General features: G+C 39.2%; 1 protein-coding gene across 1 annotated transcript in view, besides 2 other annotated features; it reads right to left on the bottom strand.

The window, feature by feature from the left end:
• SV2C (synaptic vesicle glycoprotein 2C) overlaps window positions 1-18347 on the bottom strand; it is a 506476-nt gene that overhangs the window by 314791 nt on the left and 173338 nt on the right. The window lies entirely within an intron of this gene.
• Window positions 623-1347: an enhancer, noted in NCBI's record as "H3K27ac-H3K4me1 hESC enhancer chr5:75333627-75334351 (GRCh37/hg19 assembly coordinates)". NCBI's record gives its function as "activates a minimal SCP1, AML or CMV promoter by ChIP-STARR-seq in naive H9 embryonic stem cells {active_cell/tissue: H9 hESC(naive)}" and the evidence as "EXISTENCE:reporter gene assay evidence [ECO:0000049][PMID:30033119]".
• Window positions 1348-2072: an enhancer, noted in NCBI's record as "H3K27ac-H3K4me1 hESC enhancer chr5:75332902-75333626 (GRCh37/hg19 assembly coordinates)". NCBI's record gives its function as "activates a minimal SCP1, AML or CMV promoter by ChIP-STARR-seq in naive H9 embryonic stem cells {active_cell/tissue: H9 hESC(naive)}" and the evidence as "EXISTENCE:reporter gene assay evidence [ECO:0000049][PMID:30033119]".

The raw sequence follows: 18347 nt of genomic DNA, 5'->3' as shown, positions 1-18347 counted from the left end.
TTGATCATTAGACTTGAGGTCTCATCAGTTCCACTTCTTTCTCCAAGGTGTGTCCATTTCTTCTGCTGACACATCTTGAATGTCTAGTCCTGTATAAAGCAATTGCTAAAGAAAAAATAGCCAGCATCTTTTTAGAAACATCCAAATTGGAACCTTTGAGAAATGAAGCTTTGTATGTCATATTGTGCTGTTCTACTGTTTCTTCTGGAAAGGAGGAGACCTGATTGAAGTTTCCCATGGCTTATCTGAGCATTTACAAAGTAAAGGTGCATATTGACTTGATTATGTGATTCCTCTGAGCTGTTACAGAGTTATTCATTAATGCAAAGAAGCAATGATTGATGTTTTCTCAGTTGTCTTGCAGAAAGCTTTAATTTTCTTGAAGATATTTCATGAGCAATTCAATAATTATGCAAAATATAATTTTTTGACCATTGGCTCAGGGTATATTGAGAACATTTGTCCTTTATAGACTAAGATAAGTTCAATTATGCTTTAAGATTAATATTTTTAGTGAATAATGAGTGGCCAGTAATGTGATAAAGTTTCCACATTTGTATCACTCATTATGTGCCTGAAGCTTTATCTGCCTTATTAACATTTATATGACAACTCTGCAATGTAAGTATTACAATATTACTTCCACCCCACAACCTTCACTTTCTAGGTTTTGGAACCAAGGCAAATAGAAGTTAAGTGATACACACAAGGCTATATGATAGGAAAGTGCCAGAGAAACCTGGGATTCTGGCCAAGATCTGCTTGGCTCCAAAACCCATACTATTCCCACTTTTAGAGCACTTTCCCCTAACCCTCAATCCCCTACTTCTAGCTTAAGGAGGGGCTTTCATTTATCCATTCACTCACTGATTTCCTCATTTAAACATTTGGTTTACATATTCAGTGTACTGAGTCTTACATATGTGCTGGAAGAAGAATAAATAAGAAGATATGGGATTTCTGCATTTCCATCTGAGGTACCGGGTTCATCTCACTAGGGAGTGCCAGACAGTGGGCGCAGGTCAGTGGGTGCACGCACCGTGCGTGAGCCGAAGCACGGCAAGGCATTGCCTCACTCCGGAAGTGCAAGGGGTCAGGGAGTTCCCTTTCCTAGTCAAAGAAAGTGGTGACAGACGGCACCTGGAAAATCGGGTCACTCCCACCCTAATACTGCGCTTTTCCGACGGGCTTAAAAAATGGTGCACCAGGAAATTATATCCGGCACCTGGCTTGGAGGGTCCTATGCCCACGGAGTCTCACTGATTGCTAGCACAGCAGTCAGATCAAACTGCAAGGCGGCAACGAGGCTGGGGGAGGGGCGCCCGACATTGCCCAGGCTTGCTTAGGTAAACAAAGCAGCCAGGAAGCTCCAAGGGTGGAGCCCACCACAGCTCAAGGAGGCCTGCCTGCCTCTGTAGGCTCCACCTCTGGGGGCAGGGCACAGACAAACAAAAAGACAGCAGTAACCTCTGCAGACTTAAATGTCCCTGTCTGACAGCTTTGAAGAGAGCAGTGGTTCTCCCAGCACGCAGCTGGAGATCTGAGAACGGGCAGACTGCCTCCTCAAGTGGGTCCCCGACCCCTGACCCCCGAGCAGCCTAACTGGGAGGCACCCCCCAGCAGGGACAGATTGACACCTCACACGGCCGGGTACTCCAACAAACCTGCAGCTGAGGGTCCTGTCTGTTAGAAGGAAAACTAACAAACAGAAAGGACATCCACACCAAAAATCCATCTGTACATCACCATCATCAAAGACCAAAAGTAGATAAAACCACAAAGATGGGGAAAAAAACAGAGCAGAGAAACTGGAAACTCTAAAAAGCAGAGCGCCTCTCCTCCTCCAAAGGAACGAAGTTCCTCACCAGCAACGGAACAAAGCTGTACATAGAATGACTTTGACGAGCTGAGAGAAGAAGGCTTCAGACGATCAAATTACTCCGAGCTATGGGAGGACATTCAAACCAAAGGCAAAGAAGTTGAAAACTTTGAAAAAAATTTAGAAGAAGGTATAACTAGAATAACCAATACAGAGAAGTGCTTAAAGGAGCTGATGGAGCTGAAAACCAAGGCTCGAGAACTACATGAAGAATGCAGAAGCCTCAGGAGCTGATGCGATCAACTGGAAGAAAGGGTATCAGTGATGGAAGATGAAATGAATGAAATGAAGCAAGAAGGGAAGTTTAGAGGAAAAAGAATAAAAAGAAACGAGCAAAGCCTCCAAGAAATATGGGACTGTGTGAAAAGACCAAATCTACGTCTGATTGGTGTACCTGAAAGTGACAGGGAGAATGGAACCAAGTTGGAAAACACTCTGCAGGATATTATGCAGGAGAACTTCCCCAATCTAGCAAGGCAGGCCAACATTCAGATTCAGGAAATATAGAGAATGCCACAAAGATACTCCTCGAGAAGAGCAACTCCAAGACACCTAATTGTCAGATTCACCAAAGTTGAAATGAAGGAAAAAATGTTAAAGGCAGCCAGAGACAAAGGTTGGGTTACCCTCAAAGGGAAGCCCATCAGACTAACAGCAGATCTCTCGGCAGAAATTCTACATGCCAGAAGAGAGTGGGGGCCAATATTCAACATTCTTAAAGAAAAGAATTTTCAACCCAGAATTTCATATCCAGCCAAACTAAGCTTCATAAGTGAAGGAGAAATAAAATACTTTACAGACAAGCAAATGCTGAGAGATTTTGTCACCACCAGGCCTGCCCTAAAGGAGCTCCTGAAGGAAGCACTAAACATGGAAGGGAAAAACCAGTACCAGCTGCTGCAAAATCATGCCAAAATGTAAAGACCACTGAGACTAGGAAGAAACTGCATCAACTAACGAGCAAAATAACCAGCTAACATCATAATGACAGGATCAAATTCACACATAATAATATTAACTTTAAATGTAAATGGACTAAATGCTCCAATTAAAAGACACAGACTGGCAAATTGGATAAAGAGTCAAGACCCATCAGTGTGCTGTATTCAGGAAACCCATCTCACGGGCAGAGACACACATAGGCTCAAAATAAAAGGATGGAGGAAGATCTACCAAGCAAATGGAAAACAAAAAAAGGCAGGGGTTGCAATCCTAGTCTCTGATAAAACAGACTTTAAACCAACAAAGATCAAAAGACAAAGAAGGCCATTACATAATGGTAAAGGGATCAATTCAACAAGAAGAGCTAACTATCCTAAATATATATGCACCCAATACAGGAGCACCCAGATTCATAAAGCAAGTCCTGAGTGACCTACAAAGAGACTTAGACTCCCACACACTAATAATGGGAGACTTTAACACCCCACTGTCAACATTAGACAGATCAACGAGACAGAAAGTCAACAAGGATACCCAGGAATTGAACTCAGCTCTGCACCAAGCAGACCTAATAGACATCTACAGAACTCTCCACCCCAAATCAACAGAAGATACATTCTTTTCAGCACCACACCACACCTATTCCAAAATTGACCACATACTTGGAAGTAAACCTCTCCTCAGGAAATGTAAAAGAACAGAAATTAAAACTATCTCTCAGATCACAGTGCAATCAAACTAGAACTCAGGATTAAGAATCTCACTCAAAACCACTCAACTGCATGGAAACTGAACAACCTGCTCCTGAATGACTACTGGGTACATAACGAAATGAAGGCAGAAATAAAGATGTTCTTTGAAACCAACGAGAACAAAGACACAACATACCAGAATCTCTTGGACACATTCAAAACAGTGTGTAGAGGGAAATTTACAGCACTAAATGCCCACAAGAGAAAGGAGGAAAGATCCAAAATTGCCCTCTAACATCACAATTAAAAGAACTAGAGAAGCAAGAGCAAACACATTCAAAAGCTAGCAGAAGGCAAGATATAACTAAGATCAGAGCAGAACTGAAGGAAATAGAGACAAAAAAAAAAACCCTTCAAAAAATTAACGAATCCAGGAGCTGGTTTTTTGAAAGGATCAACAAAATTGATAGACCGCTAGCAAGACTTATAAAGAAAAAAAAAGAGAAGAATCAAATAGACGCAATAAAAAATGACAAAGGGATATCACCACTGATCCCACAGAAATACAAACTACCATCAGAGAATACTACAAACACCTCTACGCAAATAAACTAGAAAATCTAGAAGAAATGGATAAATTCCTCAACACATACACTCTCCCAAGACTAAACCAGGAGAACTTGAATCTCTGAATAGACCAATAACAGGAGCTGAAAGTGTGGCAATAATCAATAGCTTACCAACCAGAAACAGTCCAGGACCAGATGGATTCACAGCCGAATTCTACCAGAGGTACATGGAGGAACTGGTACCATTCCTTCTGAAACTATTCCAATCAATAGAAAAAGAGGGAATCCTCCTTAACTCATTTGATGAGGCCAGCATCATCCTGATACCAAAGGCAGGCAGAGACACAACCAAAAAAGAGAATTTTAGACCAATATCTTTGATGAACATTGATGCAAAAATCCTCAATAAAATACTGGCAAACCAAATCCAGCAGCACATCGAAAAGCTTATCCACCATGATCAAGTGGGCTTCATCCCTGGGATGCAAGGCTGGTTCAATATACGCAAATCAATAAATGTAATCCAGCATATAAACAGAGCCAAAGACAAAAACCACATGATTATCTCAACAGATGCAGAAAAGGCCTTTGACAAAATTCAACAACCCTTCATGCTAAAAATTCTCAATAAATTAGGTATTGATGGGATGTATCTCAAAATAATAAGAGCTATCTATGACAAACCCACAGCCAATATCATACTGAATGGACAAAAGCTGGAAGCATTCCCTTTGAAAACTGGCACAAGACAGGGATGCCCTCTCTCACAACTCCTATTCAACATAGTGTTGGAAGTTCTGGCCAGGGCAATCAGGCAGGAGAAGGAAATAAAGGGTATTCAATTAGGAAAAGAGGAAGTCAAATTGTCCCTGTTTGCAGATGACATGATTGTATATCTAGAAAACCCCATTGTCTCAGCCCAAAATCTCCTTAAGCTGATAAGCAACTTCAGCAAAGTCTCAGGATACAAAATCAATGTACAAAAATCACAAGCATTCTTATACTCCAAAAACAGACAAACAGAGAGCCAAATCATGAGTGAACTCCCATTCACAATTGCTTCAAAGAAAATAAGATACCTAGGAATCCAACTTACAAGGGATGGGAAGGACCTCTTCAAGGAGAACTACAAACCACTGCTCAAGGAAATAAAAGAGGATACAAACAAATGGAAGAACATTCCATGCTCATGGGTAGGAAGAATCAATATCGTGAAAATGGCCATACTGCCCAAGGTAATTTACAGATTCAATGCCATCCCCATCAAGCTACCAATGACTTTCTTCACAGAATTGGAAAAAACTACTTGAAAGTTCATATGGAACCAAAAAAGAGCCCTCATTGCCAAGTCAATCCTGAGCCAAAAGAACAAAGCTGGAGGCATCATGCTACCTGACTTCAAACTATACTACAAGGCTACAGTAACTAAAACAGCATGGTACTGGTACCAAAACAGAGATATAGATCAATGGAACAGAACAGAGCCCTCAGAAATAACGCTGAATATCTACAACTATCTGATCTTTGACAAACCTGAGAAAAATAAGCAATGGGGAAAGGATTCCCTCTTTAATAAATGGTGCTGGGAAAACTGGCTAGCCATATGTAGAAAGCTGAAACTGGATCCCTTCCTTACACCTTATACAAAAATTAATTCAAGATGGATTAAAGACTTAAATGTTAGACCTAATACCATAGAAACCCTAGAAGAAAACCTAGGCAATACCATTCAGGACATAGGCATGGGCAAGGACTTCATGTCTAAAACACCAAAAGCAATGGCAACAAAAGCCAAAATTGACAAATGGGATCTAATTAAACTAAAGAGCTTCTGCACAGCAAAAGAAACTACCATCAGAGTGAACAGGCAACCTACAAAATGGGAGAACATTTTTGCAACCTACTCATCTGACAAAGGGCTAATATCCAGAATCTACAATGAACTCAAACAAATTTACAAGAAAAAAACAAACAACCCCATCAAAAAGTGGACAAAGGACATGAACAGACACTTCTCAAAAGAAGACATTTATGCAGCCAAAAAACACATGAAAAAATGCTCACCATCACTGGCCATCAGAGAAATGCAAATCAAAACCACAATGGGATACCATCTCAAACCAGTTAGAATGGCAATCATTAAAAAGTCAGGAAACAACAGGTGCTGGAGAGGATATGAAGAAATAGGAACACTTTTATACTGTTGGTGGGACTGTAAACTAATTCAACCATTGTGGAAGTCAGTGTGGCGATTTTCCGGGGTCTAGAGCTAGAAATACCATTTGACCCAGCCATCCCATTACTGGGTATATACCCAAAGGATTATAAATCATGCTGCTCTAAAGACACATGCACACATATGTTTATTGCGGCATTATTCACAATAGCAAAGACTTGGAACCAACCCAGATGTCCAACAATGATAGAATGGATTAAGAAAATGTGGCATATATACACCATGGAATACTATGCAGCCATAAAAAATGATGAGTTCATGTCCTTTGTAGGGACATGGATGAAACTGGAAATCATCATTCTCAGTAAACTATCGCAAGAACAAAAAACCCAACACCGCATATTCTCACTCATAGGTGGGAATTGAACAATGAGAACACATGGACACAGGAAGGGGAACATCACACTCTGGGAACTGTTGTGGGGTCGGGGGAGAGGGGCGGGATAGCATTGGGAGATATACCTAATGCTAGATGCCGAGTTAGTGGGTGCAGCGCACCAGCATGGCACAGGTATACATGTAACTAACTGCACATTGTGCACATGTACCCTAAAACTTAAAGTATAATAATAATAAAAAAAGATTATTTATCACAGGAAAAAAAAAAGAAGATATGGTCACTGTCCCTAGAGAAATCATATTATTTTCTTGCATGTATCAGTTAATCAATAACAATAAAGTAACTCTGTTCTTTGAATATTCATTAGTTATCACTTAATAATCTGTGCTTATACTCCATCTCATTCAAAAGGAAAGATTTTAAAAGGCTCCTTTCAAAAATAGAAACAAATATATGTAGAGTCTTCCCATTTTAGTAGGTTTGCTTTGGGTCTTATGAACTAATGACTAAACTACCTTTCCATCTTACTCAGGCTGGGCTATGAGAATGGAATCCATATATTACCTCAGGGAACTCAAGGCAGCCAGTAAGCTTTTGGAAAGCTGAAAACCAAATATTTCGGAAAGTCCCTGGACAAGTTGCTAAACTCTTAAATCAATTCTGTGCCAGTTGTAAATAATATAGCGATAGCAGAAATATTCTTAATAACATAATTTCTAATGTCAACTAATTAATTCAAGCTGATGGTATTAGAGTATCACTCTGTCCTTTAATAAATGGGCCTCCTGTTACATTGTGACCTAGGTAATAATAAAGATATTGAATATATTAAGGTCTCAGGCAGTCTTTTATGGGCAAGATAATCCTTAATGTAATTGCTATTTGATCAATAGAGGGTTTGAGAGGGTTAAGCACCTCCATCAGGAAGTGCAATTTCTTAGTTACTGAACCTACAAGCCACTTGATGATGCTGCCCAACTGCAGAGTCAGGTAACTGGGCCTGGGAGCAGCCCCTGGCAGGCACCGAGTGGATCAAGGTAACAGCAGCAAGAAGGGGTGTGTAGGTCTTGCCTACTGCTCCAGCGACAGCCAGCATTGCCGTGTGACAGCCCAGTCAGAGGGATTGGTGATATGGGCAGTGGATGCCATTATTGGCAGGGTCTGGGATACAGACCCTCTGAGTGCATATCATGTGGAAAGCACTGGCATCAGGTGTGTAGCTGGCTGTGATGAGCAGGCAACATGCCCACTGACACTGGCTGTAATGAGAGTCAGAAGCCAGGGACCAAATGATGATCAGTTTGGTAGGGAAGTTGTGGGAGAGTCTGATGCAATCCCTTCACCAAACTGTGACTTGGAGGCATTATTTCATCTGTGACAGTTAGATCAAACAAAAGATCATACCTGCAATATTTAAAATTCATCACATCTTTTCAAAAATATCATGATATGCTGATGAATATTTTGCACCATTTATATTGCTTGGTAATCCATTGTATGCTCTATTGTTTAGTTGATTTCGAGAACAGAAAAAAATTGTTGAAATATTTGATTTATGTATTAATTTATATTATCATACTTATTATTAACTATTGTTAGGTATTTTGAATATCACCCCTGGAGAGGCCCCAGATTGTAGCCAGCAAAATATTCAGTGGCTACTCTCCACTCCAGAGGGAGGCACAAACCTTTCTTTTTTCTTTTTTTTCTTTTTCTTTCTTTTTTTTTTGAGACAGAGTCCCACTCTGTTGCCCAGGCTGGAGTGCAGTGGCACGATCTCAGCTCACTGCAGCCTCCGGGGAGGCACATTTCTAAGCTAGACTGCCCTGAGAGAGACAGAATACGGCTGCCAACCACATGGATGGTGCTTCTTACAATTGTGCAAAGTGATAGCTCCAAACCATATACATATCATGAACACATCTTTTCTTAATACAGATGACGTCACTATTAGAGCAAATCAGCATTACTTACTTCTATAGGTCCCTTTCATTGCTAGGGTAATAGTTCCCAGATGGCATCTAACTCTGTGAATCCTTGATCTGTTACTTTTAGAATATTCTGTGACCAGTGAGTCTGTGAAGTGCTCAATACGCCCTTTCTTCTCCAAAAGATTTCTGGATGTGTGGGCAAATAATTCTTATTCCCTACACAAATGAGATGGAAACTTTTCCAAAAAGAACTTTACAGGAATAAATAAAAAAAAAAAAAAAAAAAAAAAAAACAAGCCTCTGACCAAAGCATTCTGTCTTGTAGGAAAATTATTAAACCAAACCAAAATGTGTAAATATTTACACATTTTGTCAAGGAGTCCCTTGACAGTGGCATATATTAAGAAATAAAGCCTTTGTTAGTTACTCAGAATTTACTGGAATTTAAAAAAATAAATAGGTAATCATTAAAATCCTTCTATTTAAAGTGGTTTCCCTGACCCTTCAATGCTATGAAGTACCCACCATAGAAACCGGGGTCTGCAGTCACCTGGATCGAAATCTGCCTCTGAAATCGAAAGGCTCCATTCAATAAGTTCTGAAAAGAGGAACTGAAGCAGAGACAGAACCTACTTCAAGAACTTGCTCTGATTACAGAATCTGGTCAATGGCTGTACCCAGAGCTCTTACTAAAAGATGCCAGACTGAGGTCCAAGCTGACATTCTGCTGATTTTTATTCCAAAGTAAACATCGCCACGGTAAATGGTATTGTAATGGACAGTTGCAGGTTAAGCTGAATGTTTTTAAAGCAAATTCTTGGATCTGTAGAAGAGCCAAATATTTGTTTACTTGTCCCTGAAATTACACATGCTGGCTGAATAGGGTGGATAAAAATGGCTAGAGACTTTCTAATAAGTGTAAAAATAATAAGTGTAAATTTTTGCCTCAAATACTTCTTAGTACTGTAGTCTGATTTAGTACTGTAGTCTGAATTTTTGCCTCAAATACTTCTTAGTACTGTAGGGCTTTCTCAGATTTTGGTTGAGGAATCACTGTGGTGTTTGTTAAAATGCAGATGACTGTATCCCACCTCATGTCTATTCAATGACTCTCTGGGAGTGGGATTGAGAATCTGTGTTTTAACGAAAACTCTACTGATCATTAAGAACAGAGAGGTTAGGGGGTTGGGGAGATGGTCAAAGAACACAACATTTTCAGTTAGGTAGAAGGAATATATTCAAGAGATCTATTGTATGACATGGTGACTATAGTTAACAACAATGTATTGTATTTTTGAAAATTGTAAGAGGATAGATGTTTGGTGTTCTCACCAGAAAAATAACTGTGTGAGGTAGTGCATATGTTAGTTAGTTATATTTAGTCAATCTACAATGTATACATACTTTAAAATATCAAATTGTGCATAATAACTACATACAATTTTTTCTGGCAATTTAAAAATCATGAAGTTTGAGAACACTTGTTCTATAAGACAGGATGGGTGGTATTCATTCATTTATGTTGCTCATTCATTTGTTCACTCCACAGCCACTTACTTATTGCATTCTCCTGAGTGCTGGGGTTATAGACATGAATAAAATACGGTTTCTGTTCTCTGGCAGCTCAAGGTCTAGATTTAATCTGCAACTATACTTCTCAGCTAGAGGCATTATTGCCCCTCAGGAGACATTTGGCAATTTCTGGGAAACATTTTTGGTTGTCACAACTGAGAGCAAAGATGGCATCTAGTGGGTAGAGGCCATGATGCTGCTATACATCCCCAGTGTACAGGACAATTCCCTCCCTGGCCCAACAAAAATTATCCATCCTAAAGTGTCTGCAGTGCTAAAGCTGAGAACCCTGATTGGCACTGTACTGATTCATTCAGCCAGATCAATCATCAGAATCACATAGAAGCTTTGCCAATACTGCATCTTCCAGATTATTGTCTGGGAAATGTGCATCTAAGTTCAAAAGCGGGGCTGGAATCCAGGCCATGATGATTTGCTGCCACTGTGTAAACAAGAGAAGACATTTTCATTTGTGCTATAAGAAACTTCCAGGGACACGACATAATTACTCTTCTCACATGATTTTTAAAAACCTACAGCCAAACTGGTTTTACTCTATCTATATATTTGTTCAATTAACTAAAATTCCAGAAAATGTTTAATGAATAATTTACCATCCTTACAAAATATTGTGGACTTCCACTTCCAGCCAAGATGGCAAAACAGGGATTGGGTTACCCTCCCATTTGAAACAACAAAGACAATAACAGCAAAAAATCCAGACAAAATACATAAAAAAAATTTTCAAGATGCTGAATGAAGGACAGTGATCCAGAGAGACAAAAACAAATATGGGGGGCCCTATGGTTGTTTCCAAGCTGAAGCTGGAAGACAGTTTCCAAGCCATGATGCGGGGAGGGACAATGGATTTTCTGAATTGAGGAAACATTGCTGAGAGTTCAGGGAGTCCAAGGCGCCCACATTTTGCAGGATAGAGTATCAAAGAGGAGAATGCTGCACAGAGAGATAACTACAGAGATCTGTGTAGGGATCCCCTCAAGTATTCAGTGAGTACTGATAACACATGCACTTGAAGAAACTACCTGAGAGGAGAATCACCTAAGAGAATTAGAGGTAATAGTACTCATGCAGGACATGTAACAGTGTCTGTTCCCACCATCCAGAATGGAAAACCTCATGATTCACGGAGCACAGAGTAGAGTATGCAGAGGGTGTTGACTCAGTAATGAAGAATATTTAACTCTGGACTGAGCATTGGTCCAGTACCACTTAACACATCTTAAAAGCAAGATCCAGAAAGGATCAAACTGTTTCTAAGTAACTTAACTGCATCCCAGGACAAAACTCAAGAATATTTACTGATATAAATATGATAATTAGTAGAAAAGACTGATTATAATTGTATTCTGTATATTCAAAAAGTTAAACAGCACTACAGATTATATCAATGCTAAAACAACTTCGAAAAAGAAAAGTTGGAAGACTAGCATGACCTGTTTTCAAGACATTTTGTCAATTAGAATGTAAATAAATAAATGTTTCAAGAAATTCCTTTTGAATAACAGAAAGAACAACTGCTTTCTAATTCATTCAATGAATAAGTGAGAATGGACAAGATATAAAATAAGAAATGACAAAAAAAAAGGATAATAAAAACTGAAAAAAGGTTGGGCTTGGTGGCTCACACCTGTAATCTCAGCACTTTGGAAGGCTGAGGCGGGTGGATCACCTGAGGTCAGGAGTTTGAGACCAGCCTGGACAACATGGTGAAACCCTATCTCTACTAGAAATACAAAAATTAGCTGGGAGTGGTGGTGGGCGCCTGTAATCCCAGCTACTCAGAATGCTGAGGCAGGAGAATCACTCGAACCTGGGAGGTGGAGGTTGCAGTGAGCTAAGATCATGCCATTGCACTCCAGCCTAGGCAACAAGAGCGAAACTCCGTCTCAAAAAAAAAAAAAAAAAAAGACAACTGAAAATAATACTTTTTTTCAAAAAATAAAGTTTACCCAAATTGACTTAATCCAAGCTAAAAAGCTGGCAGAGTAATTCCCTTAGAAAAAAAATAGGAAAAGTCTAAAAAGTGGGGGTTGGACGACAACGTCTGGATGCCAGCCCTCCAACTGAGGTGCTTGTCCATTTGCACCTCATCCACCTCCATCCTCAGGAACTCCCACTTCCCCAGCGCCATCCTTAATCTTTCCCGTTGTAGCACCGTCTGCTCTTTCTGTGAACAATCTCCAGGTCTCTCCTAGGATCATCTTTATTTGTTCTCTTTATTTTAAGCTTTCACAATAAATACTTTAGTTAGGCTCACTATCTCTTTTTATTCACCCCACTCCGACTCTTGGAATTCCTGTAATCTGGCTTCCTACGTCTAGCTCTCTAGTGATTGATTTCTCAAAGTTATCAGCATTCCTTGTATTCTTGATCTTCATTTTGGTAATTATGGGTTTCTCCAGTGGGAATTATTTCTATGTATTTGCAGTGGGAGGATAAGGATGGCAGACCTTGCTTTGTGTTGTTTCTCTTTGTGTACTTGCCTGAGTACATCAATTAGACTGTGAGCCTCCAGAGGGTAAGGATCAACCATTAGACATTTTAAAGCATAATCTCCCCCTAATAGATCTTCCATAATTATTTGTATGGTCAATAGTATTATGTTGGGCTCAGGATTTTGGCTGAAAGTTGAATAAAAGTACATAGAAAAAGTCTTCATTTGCACACTTCACTGTGCCTAGCTCAGTCTTGCCTATAGCTGCCTTTTAATATTAATAGCATTGAAGTGTGTGTGTGTGTGTGTGTGTGTGTGTGTGTGTGTGTGTTTGTAAATTTGCCAGGCTGGTTTCTACTTGAAGAAATCTCTTTGAGGTTTTAGATCAGTAGTTCTCAATCCTTTTCCATGCTCAATTCACCTGAGATGCATTATCCATTTCCAACTATAATTGGCTTACCTGATTGTCATTTGTGTGGAGGTGATGGATAGGATGCCTTATAAAGGGATTATCAGAATCCTGGGTGAAATGTGTCATTTTAAAATATCTTCTCCACCCACCTCCCACCATCCTGGTTGAAAATCACTGCCTTAGTCATCCAGACAAACTTCTGAAAAACATGTCTCATCTAAGCTAAAATTTCCCAGTGTTTGTTGTTCACTTTGCATCAATATGTGTTTGCAATGGCCAGGCATGAACAAACATTAATGCTTTGACTGCCTTCCCCAAAGCCATACAGAAACCTAATAGAGTGATACAGCAGAAATGGGCCATCTGACTTCCATTTTTCTCAATGTGCTATTAAACACAGAAACTCATGGTCACCATACTACATTTCTTTTGGTATCCAGCTGCAGGCATGTATTAAACAGTGCTGCAAATCATGCATACAGAAATCAAGGGGCTCAATATCTCAATACATAGAATAAAAATTTGGATGTTTTTGTTGTTTTCAAAAACATATACTTTTAGCACATGTGATGATATTTCAGGAAATGTTTTCCTACTACATCCACTCTCTTAAAGGGTAGTGATTTCCACTGTAATATGATGTTTAAGGTGTTAGGTAGAGCTTTTTAAAAGCCTTATTTCCTTCTGCTACGAATAAACAGCCCAGCAGTTTGTGAAAAGGCATTATGCCATCTGAACATATTAGTCTCCTGGCTGTCTTATTCAGACTAGCTTTGCACCTCCTCACCAATGTTTGCTGGCAGAATTCCCAGCCAGGAATGCCCCTCAGCCATCTGCTCTGTCTCTGGTACCCTGCCTATGCTCCAGTGGGACAGCAGTCTCTTCCCCAAGCACTGCTTAGGTGTTTGGGTTATTATAAAAGGGCAGCATAAAAAAAAAAAAAAAAACGTGCTCAAGGCATGTGAGCTGTTTTTGTGTTATGATATTTTATTACACTTTGCTGTCCTGTGTTTTCAAATTGATTCCATTTGCTGTGAACACACACAGATGGAGTGTGGTGGAATAAGAGCAGAGTGGGAAGAGCAGCTTCCCGAAGGCAGCACTGGGTAAGGAAAGGGGGCCTAGGTGAGGATCCGTGTCTATCTCTGCTCTGCATTTAACTGAACATGCAACTTGGAGCAGGCCACTTCTCCCTTTTAGATTCCATACAGTTGACCCTTGAACAACACAGGTTTGAACTATGTGGGCCCACTTACAAGCAGATTTTTTTCAACCAAACACAGGTAGAAAATACGCTATTCCCAGATTAAAAACCTGCATATAGGGAGGGTCAACTTTTCTCATAAGTGAGTTCCACAGGGCCGACTGGAGGTCTTGAATATGCCTGAATTTGGTCTATGTGGGTGTCCTGGAACCAATCTCCTACACACACTGGGGCACAATATATTTTAAATGAGGGGTTTCCTCACATGATTGACCCTATAAAATGGGAAAAGGATTATTGCATCTAAAATAAAATCCAAAACATAAATGATTGACTGGAGAAAAAAACTGGTTTGTAATGCTTATGGAAAAGGGTGACTATCCATAGCAAAAAACTCCTACAAATTGGTGAAAATAAAAAACACAAATAACCCATAAAAAGAGGCAAAGGATATGAATTGGTTTCATGGAACATGAAAAGCAAATGACCAATAAATAAGTGACAACATGTTCACAAACGGTCAGGAAAATTAAACATCAAAGCAACATTGGGACACCATTTTTATGCATATAACCAGCCCAGCAAATATATATATTTTGAAAAGTTAGCTACTGCTAAGTGCTGGTTAGAGTGCAGGGATACTTTCTGACATCGTGGTGGGTATATGTAAATTGCTACAAGCTGTTAGGAAGGTAAGCTAACAATGCTTATAGAAATCCCCAGAAATCTCATTTTGGTAATCTATCCTATAGAAACAGAAGCAACATGATTTAAAGATACATATATGGGGATATTATGGCAGAGAGTGAAGGAAAAAACAGAAAATAACCTGAATCTCCATTACTAAAGAAATGGTTGAATAAGTTACTCTCTATCAGTGATTCTCAGCTAGGAGTGATTTTTGTTTCCCCTACCCCAGGGGATATTTGGAAATATTTGAAGACATTTTTTATTGTTGCAATGGGGCAGAGTGCTACTGGTATCTAGTGTGTAGAGGTCAAGGATATCATTAAACATAAGGCATGGGAGACCCACCCCAAAGAATTGTCTGGCCCAAAATATCAATAATGCTGAGGTTGAGAAACCCATGCATATGTGGGCATATGTATTTTGAAGGCCAGTCTCTGAGAAAATATTAAGTTAAAGAAAAAGTTACAGAGTAATTTATAATATTCCATGTTCTTAAAATATAGAAAACTCTGAACAAACATACATACATATATATATATATACACACACACATACATATATATGTATATATACACACACACATTATATGTGCTAGGGATGGAGGAAAAGTATGAAAGTATTCATACCAAACTGATAACATTGCTTACTTTGGGAAGGGCTAGGGGAAGTGGCATGGAAAGAGGCCCTTGCCCAACACACACACACATCATACACAAGCTCTTGTACTCCTGTTCTGGGATGGCTACATAAAAGTCCTATAAGACGCATTTGAAAAATTCATATATCCTGGCCATATTTCAGAGCTCTTGGATCAAATACCATTGACCTAAACATTTTAAAAGCTTTTGAGTCCCCCCACAAAATGATCCTTTGGAAACGAAGGAGCAGCTTCCTATTTAAGTCTTTGCAAAGTATCTCATCCCACGGGGTCTCTCTTGACTACTTTATTTTGACAGCACTGTACTATTTGGGGGAAAATACAGTAGCTTGAAAGCTGGGAACAATGCTTGTAGAGGTCACCTGACAGACTCAGCTGAACAAAAATTAATATCAAAAAAGTAGGAAAGAAATTTAACTCAGATTTAGTAGCTATTCCAAGAATAGAACCTCACATCTACAAATATTGGGTGTCACTGTGAATCAGCCTTTAAAAAATGACTATAAAAGTACAGTTAGTTGTTTCACTGTGAAGTGTGGATATACATCTACAGGGGCAGAAACCACCGCTGCCACAACGAAGTATTCTAAGGTTGTATAAATTGGGACAGGTGGCTTGGGCCATAAATTTTCCAGTGCCAACATATCCTATACAGACATTATTAAAATTGCTATGTGAATCTCAAACAACTTAGATGTAAAGATAATATGCATTGGAAAACTGCATTAATAAATCAAAATACAACAAAGATGCTGATGTAGCAGAAGCACATAAAGTGATTTCATGAAATTGAAGGGAAAAAAAGTATTTCTAAATTAATGCATTATTTTATATGTGATTCTAAACATGTCTATCGACCAAATTAACAAACTATCAACAAAACCAAAAAGCTTACAAGGGAATTTTCGGGTGCAGACAGCTTTGAGAATGACTGGACAGAGTGGTTCCCAAAAATTATCCCTGTTACCGCATCCGGTACAGAAGGTCAGCCATTGTGGGTGTTTATGACCCTGCTATGGCTGATTACTTCATGCCTTTGCCTTCTGAAGGAAGATGAAGTTTCCCAGGGGAGGATTATATTTTAGCTGGTATAAAGGAGAGAGAGAGGAATTAATATGGGATAGGCTTAGCAGGTGAAAGAGTGAAAAACACTCCTCAATGCTAATGCAATTTGTTATAATGCATGAGGCAGTCTGGGGAAAAGAAAATACGGAGCAGCATGGGTCAGAGGCTAAGCCTGATGATCCTGAAGTGTGCACTGTTCTGTTCTCCTGGCATCTGTCACTCATGGGCAGTCAGGTACTTGGGAAGATACTTTGACATTTTAAGGCCAAGAGGGCATCTGTTGATGCACCAGGCATGCTGAGAAAAGCAAATCATCCTTCAGTGTGCTAAATGACACCAGTGAGTTAATGCCGCTGTGAGGCATTAGGCACCAGAGAGAAAGAGTGAGAGGCAGAAGAGTGCTGTAAGCTTCAATTTCTCAGCCTAGCCTTGTCATGACTGCAAAATGGTTGGGACAAATCGTTTTAACCTTGGCTCCTTGTTCTGTTAATTATAGGATTATTAATGCCATACCTTGAGAATGAGGACTAGAAATGATCCAAGAATAGTTTAAGAAGACACAACACAACATTAATAATTTCAATGATTTTGACTGTAAGAACAGGATGAAGTAACTTTTACTCACCTATAAGATCCTAAGGCCAGTTAAAAGCTTCCATAGTGACTCAATATCCCAAGCACTTTTAAGTATTAAATTATGAAACAAAAAACCTCCATAAAATTTAATGGGATGAAATGAAAGGTAGAGAAATTTCAAATGAATCACCAGCAAAAATGTTCTTTCAATTATAAAATGACTTTTCCAGGAGTAAAACTGATGTTGAAGGAATAAAACTGATGTTACTGGATAAACACCTAAAGGATTTTTAGACCTCTCCTGTATCACTTGTAATTTCACATTTTCAAATTAAGTTCAGTTCCCCAATATTAATTTGGCCCTTACTATGAGTGAGGCATATTGCTGGGTACTGAGAATAGTGAGGTAAATGTGAAACAAGACAAAGCTGGGACATCAGAGTTGTCAGGAAGGCAGCTGAAGGGATTGATAAACATTGATCTGTACCATCGTAATTGAATAGGAAACCTGATGCTATCAATAAGAGAATAAACATTCATTTGTTTTGTCCAAATAGTTTTTCTTTCAGTGCTTGGGAATGTTGCTTTAAATTTATATAATGCACACATTCAAGTTTTAAAATAAAACAATTCAAGTCATTGAGTATTGATGGTAAATATATGAATTCAAAAAACTGAACAAGTTAACATAACTTGCATTATTGTTTATTAGGGTAAATAAAGTTTCCAGAAAAAGCAATCTGATTAATCAGCATATTAGTCTTATAAAGAGCACTGCTGCCTTATCTCCTTTTTGGCAGATGCCCAATCAATGGCCTCAGACTTCAATTAGGTGGAAAACCAAAACAATCACTGGATAGACCAATGATTTCTTCATGTATCTGCCTGTGTATTAACTAAATGCTGTACTAGTAAGTCCTCAAATTGTAGTGACCTGATGCAGTAAAATTTTATTTCTTGCTCACTTATTAGTCCAATGTTAGTGTTCCTGTTTGGTGACTTCAGTAAAATCATTCAGAGATCATCTCTTTTCATCTTGTGACTTGGCCTTCCCTAGTGTGTCAGAATCTTCTGCCTTCAGTAAGCAATGTGGAAAGAGAGAGGGTGGAAAAAGCACACCTGCTTT

The sequence above is a fragment of the Homo sapiens genome, chromosome 5 (genome assembly GCF_000001405.40).
Source record: "Homo sapiens chromosome 5, GRCh38.p14 Primary Assembly".
In the NCBI taxonomy this organism is placed as follows: Eukaryota; Metazoa; Chordata; class Mammalia; order Primates; family Hominidae; genus Homo; species Homo sapiens.
This window is presented reverse-complemented; position numbering and strand designations above follow the sequence as displayed.